Source organism: Homo sapiens, chromosome 11, assembly GCF_000001405.40.
Source record: "Homo sapiens chromosome 11, GRCh38.p14 Primary Assembly".
Classification (NCBI taxonomy): domain Eukaryota; kingdom Metazoa; phylum Chordata; class Mammalia; order Primates; family Hominidae; genus Homo; species Homo sapiens.
Window position 1 is genome coordinate 6441545 of NC_000011.10, and position 6959 is coordinate 6448503.

Below are 6959 nucleotides of genomic sequence, written 5' to 3' on the forward strand. Positions count from 1 at the left end.
GGGACAATAATGTCTCACTGTTGTCAAATGTCCAAGCCCCATGCCCAGCCTCTCGCCTTCCCTGACTGGCAAAGGGCTTTGCAAAAAGTGCCTGGAAGTGAAGGGTTGACAGTAATGAGGCAGAAACAGGAGGTGTCTCTCTTCCAGAGAGCACCACCACTACTAGTAATTAGTCTTTCTTGGTAGTTTCCACCTTGGGGGAAAAAGCTTTATTTAACCAACCCAGAACAAATAGAACTGTAACTGGAATTTCACAATATTTCTAGCTGACTCCTGCTTAAATGCTACCTTCTCAATGAAGCCTTTCTTGACCACCTTATCTAGCCATTTCAGACCCTTGCTTGTTTTATTTTACTTACTAAAACTTGAAATTCTTTCATCTGTCTACTTATCTGGTGATGGTTGTTGTTGCTTTGCTTTGTTTTGCCTGTCTTGTTTACCATTATATATCCCTGACTCCTAAAATAGTGCCTGGCATATAAGAGTTGTTCCAGAAATATTTGTTGAATGAAAAAAATGCAAAAATGCATTTCAAGTACTGAGTAGTGTTGCTAGTGTTGCAGCCAAATTTCTGACAATTTCCCCCCCTCTAGGGTAGGAGAATATTAGGAATTGGGGGTAGGTTATGGTAGTAGGCATAATGAGATCTAGGAGTCACAGACGCCCTTTATCTGACAGTCCTGTTTCTCTCTCCAGTGTCTCGGCCCCACATCCATCTCTTCCTGGGATCTCACCTGCTATCCTCAGTACTTCCTGGGCCCACTCCCAAAGCTGCCCCATTTCTGTGTGAGATTTGCCTAGTGAGTCAGAAAAGAATTATGGGCAGACTCAGCTATGGGCCAGGATGAAGTTCCAGGACCCCTGCTCCCTAGCCAAGGCTGAAAGGGCCCTGATCCCTCACAGATGGCTCCAGACCCCTGACAGTCCCATATATAATCTTACCAAAAGTCTCAGATCCCTTTTCTACTCTGCGAAGTTTCCTTCCAACAGGAAAACACACATTCCGGAACCTCTGGAACAACATGTCACCAGGCCTCTGCCATCAGGCTCAATGTCCTCTCCTGACTTACGAATGAAAATGTGCTGTGAACATCATTCCCTCCTCATAGGTCAGTGGGCAAGGCTGGACTCTCTGAGTCCTTGGCAGCCTGGGCAATGCCATCGCTGCTACAGCCAATGTCTCATACTCACCTTCTCCCCATTGCAGGGCATGTCTTCTTTCTGGGTGTTGGGCAATGGGAGCCACTATTCTAAGACTCCCCCTCACCTTTTCTTTCCCTCTCAGCCTCTGAAACCTTATATTCTCCCTCCTGAGCACCCCATGATCCTCCATCAGGAATTTCCTCAACAACTTGTCTTCAGCTGTCAGAACCCTGTCTGAATCCTACAGATTTTGCTGGGCCTGCCTGGGGAGAGGGAAGCTTTCACCCCAAGAAACAAACACCCCACAGAAAACCCATAGTGAGAGTCTTCAATAGTCCTATTAGCAGGGCCTTGCACTGACTTGCCAGTCCAAGGGTGCAGTCTCCTTCTGGCCTAACAGGGCTGTCTGAGGGCATACAGCACATATACTGGATGATCATTTTTCAGCTTGACCCCTTCCCCACACACCTGGTGTGGTCCCCCTCACAGCACCCCGGATCCATCTATCCCAGAATACTACTTTATGGTCCCTTTTCCCTGTTGCTTCCTAATTCACCTGTGTACCCGAGAATGGCTTAGAAACCATTACTGGATCCTCCTGCTCCACCCAGGGACTAGGCCAGCAGAGTCATCTGCACTGCAGGCAGTCCAGGTTGAAGTTCAAGTTTTGGGCAGGAGTTGAAAGTAGAACATTGTACACATTTGGGAACCCAGGGCTGTGGATATGTTGGCCACCCTGGTGTTGGTCACAGGGTACAAGCCAAGACTTCTCAGGGTAGTCAAGACTCAGCAGCCTTGCTTCTCTTCCCCTCACTACAGGAGGCCCCTTCTGTGGGTCCTGGGTCCTTCCCAGGCTTCCTACTGGGGCTGAGGAAAGAAGCTTGTCGGTACTTGGGCCTGAGCACCCCCTGCAGGCCGCAGGAATCAGTGCACTCCCGCCCTTCAACTAGAGGCCAGAGCCCAGGAGTTTTTCCTCTCTGAAACTAGCTCTCCACAGCCTTTGTCCCACACTCCTCTCAGCCCTGGCTGTGCATCCTTAGTGGTACACACCCTTCTATGCTTCTTTCCCTTCTTCTGCAAACCTTGCTGCCCAGAGTGGATTTGGGGACCTCAATCTCTTGCTTCTCTGGGAACTCGAGCCCAGAGAAATTCAACCATCTCTTTTCCTGGGTAGTCTTCTCTATCCTCCTAACCAGCAGCTTTTTTACTTCTCCCAGAAGGGGTCTGAACACGAACCTGCAAATGTCTGCAAATGACAGAGCTTCCTCCTGCATTGCCAAGAGCCAGATGTAAGCTGGACACTGACCCACTGTCCCTTGGAATGGCTATGTCTATGTCCAGCCTGCTCTGCTGTTGATATGAGTTCTCTGACCTTAGCCATTTCTCCTGGGCCCACTGAGTGCTAGGTGTGCTGGGCCTGAAGTCTGTGGCTGTATACTCCAGGGAGCAGGAACTGAATGTCTCCTTTCCTCAGGGGTAGGAGGCTTAGGGATAAAGCTCCAGGCAGCCAAAGAGCTTGCTGATCCCAGCTGACCCCTCCTCTTGCTCAGTCTATAATGGGCCTTAGTGCTATATATATATATATATAGCATGTATATAGCACTTGCTATGGTTTGAATGTTTCTGTCCCCTCCGAATTGATGTGTTGGAAGCTTAATTCCCAATGTGCCAGTGTTTGGAGGTGCGGCCTCATGAGAGGTGTTTAGGTCATGAGAGCTCTGCCCGATGAATGGATTAATGCTGCTATAAAAAGGGCTTTCAGAAGTGGATTCTCTCTCCTCTGCTTTTCTGCCACGTGATGAACAGCATTTGTCTCCTCTAGAGGATGCAGCGTTCAAAATGCCATCATAGAAGCAGAGACCAGGACCTCACCACACACCAAACCTGCTGGGCACCTTAATCTTGGACTTCCCAGCCTCCAGAACTGTGAGAAATACATTTTTGTTCATTATAAATCATCAGTCATGGGCATTTTGTTATAGCAGCACAAACAGACAAAGGTAGCACTATGAGTCCCGTTTTATGAATGAGGAAGCCAATATTAGGTATCTTAGCCAAATCACATTGCTAGCAAGTGGCAGAGCCATGATTTAAACCCTGGGTGCCTGACTCCTAGGGGTGTGTTCCTACAAGGATAGTGTGTTCTTATCAAGGGGTTCGCTGGCAAATATTTAACAACTGCTCTCTAGGGGGAAAAAGCACTGATTTGTAACATTTGCAGATTTTTGTGATATAAATACTCCTACCATGGCCAACTTTAAGCTACCGACAAGACATCACCAAATGTAGAGTTGGGAAGGGATGTACAGTAACACACTGCATACAATATTCCTACCATACAGATATGATAGATATAAATAATCACAAGAGCACAGGGGATAGTAAAATGTAGTAAAATAATTAGGAAGTGATTACTTTTAAGTACTGATTATCTTTGGTTTTAATAGAATGTATTTAAGTTTATATAGTTTGATTTTTAATAATAGCTGTGTTTTAACAACCAGCTCTCAAAATTCTAAATTTGACAATCAGCTCTCATGAGCCAGCTCCAGCACCCCACAGTCTACCATGCTGCCTTTGTGTACAGGACAAGGATCCTACCTGCTTTAGTCACTGCTATATCTTCAGCACTGAGAACACGCCTGAAATACTGTATGTATTTAATAAATATTGAATCCTATTATTCCTACTTCCTAATTATACATAAAATCTGTCCATTTCTCTCTGCCTCTTTAGTAATGCAAACACCACCTTTTCTTGTGTGACCATTGAAATAGCTCCTCTACAACACATTCTTTATAACAACCACAGTGATCTTTAAAAACGTATCTGAGATCACCTTATGCTCCTGCTTAAAATTTTTTCTTGAAGTCAGTTGTAATTTTTTTTTTTTTTCTTTTTTTTTTGAGACAGAGTCTCACTCTGTCACCCAGGCTGGAGTGCAGTGGCGCGATCTCGGCTCACTGCAACCTCCGTCTCCTGGGTTCAAGTGATTCTCCTGCCTCAGCCTCTCGATTAGCTGGGACTACAGGCGCCTGCCACCACACCTGGCTCATTTTTTGCATTTTTAGTAGAAACAGGGTTTCACCGTGTTAGCCAGGATGGTCTTAATCTCCTGACCTTGTGATCTGTCCACCTTGGCCTCCCAAATGCTGGGATTACAGGCGGGAGCCACTGCACCTGGCCGAAGTCAGTTGTAATTCTAATGTATACACAGTCTTCAAGAGGAACAGTTTAGAGAAGTTGAATTGTTTTCTGATTTTCTTTCTCAATTCTCTTCCTACCCCACAGAATCACTGCCCAGTTTAAAGTTTGTTTCACAGGGCATCCCTTTCATCCTTATCACTTAAACTTTTCAGTGGCTTACTGTCATACTCCAGACCAAATCCAAGCTCTTTATCTTAGTTAAATGATCGAAGTCAGGCCTAATTCTCCAAACTTGTTCCTTTCCTCTCTCCTTCCACCCTCCTTCCTCTCCAGTCACCCTGGCCTCCTTTCAGATTCTCAAACACATCAAGATCTCAACCCCTCAGGATGTTTGTACCTGTTTTTCCTTTGTCTGAAAATCTCTATCTCCTTTTCTTAACACAGCTAGTTCCCTACCCACCCTGCTCCAACCCTACAGGTCACTGCTTAAAGAGACTTTCCTTGTCCACTCTATTTAACACTATATTGTCTATCATTGTATTCTGTTCATTTCCTTCACAGCTTGAACTCAAATTGTTATTACACATTTAGTTCCTTGTTGCTTACTTGTCTCCCTTCTCCACTAGACTATAAGCTTAATAAGGGCAGGGACCATTTCTCTGTATTCCCAGGGCCCATTACTCTGTCTAATATTAAGTGCTCAACAAATACTTGTTCAATAAATAAATGAACCCGCAGACCACAAATGGCCATAGGGCTGTTCTGGTCACCAGACAGCCCTATATGAGCAAAGTGTGAACCCTTGCAGGACCACAAAATAACATTCTGACAGCAGGGGCTTTGCTGTGACCCCCAAATCTGTGACAATCATTCCAGACTTGGCCTCCACTGTCAGGCACTACTTTCATCTACTTGGCCCCAAGGCCTGAATTGGAAAGAAAATGCCCACCACGGCTGGATTTAGAAGGAACAGAATGACTCCACCTTGATGTACCTTTTCCATGGCATGGGAAGACTACCTAATCTGAATCTATGGAAATCAGCCCTAGCAGCCTGTTCTTGGGCTAGCAGAAGAGCCATTTGCAGCATCCCGCCCAAGGAAGGTCACCCTTACTGCCTTTTTATTCCCCTGCTACTTTTAGGTGTTCACAATGTAAACATGTGACAGGTTGAGGGCTGGAAGCTTTGAGTTTCCATTCTGTATTACTTCTGGTGCCTTGCTCAAGATAGGGGTGCAGAAAAATAGACCATCACCTGAGAGTTCTCGGGGAGGACTCCACTGGTGCTGAGCGACTGATAATTGAGCACACCATCTCGGCTGACCAGGGCATGGGCTTAGGCAATTCCACTCACAATCAGAGCCAGAGGGGCAGGCTCCATAAGAGCACCTGCACTAAAATCTTCAGGGAGCTCATCGGTCCCTCCACCTATCTATCAGGTTTCTTTTTTTTTTTTTTTTTTTTGAGATGGAGTTTTGCTCTTGTTGCCCAGGCTGGAGTGCAGTGGCACAGTCTCGGCTCACTGCAACCTGTGCCTCCCAGGTTCAAGCAATTCTCCCGCCTCAGCCTCTCAAGTAGCTGGGATTATAGGCACCCACCACGATGCCTGGCTAATACTTGTATTTTTAGTAGAGACAGGGTTTCACCATGTTGGCCAGGCTGGTCGCAAACTCCTGACCTCAGGTGATCCACCCACCTCGGCCTCCCAAAGTGCTGGGATTACAGGCGTGAGCCACTGTGCCTGGCCTATCTGTCAGGTTTCAGCTAGTGGGGCAGAGAGGACCAGGGAGGTAAGCATAACCAAGACTTTCCATATAGTCCAAGTGGGACCCCCTTGTTCTCTACAAAGCCCCCATGGTCTTCCACAGATCCATGGATAGTCCCTCTTTTCCTAGCCCCAGAATTGTGCTATACCAGATCGATGTCTTGATCTTTTCCATGACCTCTCATGATCAACTTTCCCAGATCCAACGTTCCCCAAATCTTGTTGAGTGCTTTCTCTGCCAGCCATCATGCCAGGTGCAAGGGGCATAAGGGTGAACGGGGTGCTATAACTCACCGGTTAGGAGTATGACAGCTACATATTCAAATCTGGGCTCTGCTCTTCATCAACAATATGACCTATTTCTGTGAGCTTCAGTCTTTTGTAGAGAGAGAGAGAAATCATAGTCCCTACTTGCCAAATCATCACTGAATGCTGCTTTCAATTCTCTCTGGAGATAGCAGTAAAACTCTGGCAGTCTAGAGCTCAGGAGAGAATGTGAAGACCCTAATTCCACTGCAGGGAGGGGCAGCAGTCTTGGAAATGTGAGAAAGGGGATATGTCAGGGCTCCAGGGATTCAGGGATGACTTTTAAAATTAGCCATGGAGTCTCCCACACGTAGCTACCACCTGGGCTAGCCTCAATTCCCTTGCCCAGGCTTGAACTTCAAAGATTGCTTTCATAGCCTGACACTGTTCTCTCTGCACCTACTGGCTGTGTGCTGGGCAGAGGTCATTCCCTCACCCCCCCAACCCCACAATCCTTCCCAGCCCCAGGGCAGATAGGCAAAGGACTTGCCTACTTCTGTAGGGCCTGGGGATGGGGATATGGCAGGTGGGTCAGGGTCCCATGGGTTCACCCTTTCTTGCTCTTCTCTACGGAAGTTTCAAAATATCAGGACCTGCTT

At 46.8% G+C, this 6959-nt stretch overlaps 1 annotated feature.

The window, feature by feature from the left end:
- Positions 1811–1880: an enhancer, noted in NCBI's record as "active region_4341". NCBI's record gives its function as "activates an Ori minimal core promoter by ATAC-STARR-seq in GM12878 lymphoblastoid cells {active_cell/tissue: GM12878}" and the evidence as "EXISTENCE:reporter gene assay evidence [ECO:0000049][PMID:35858748]".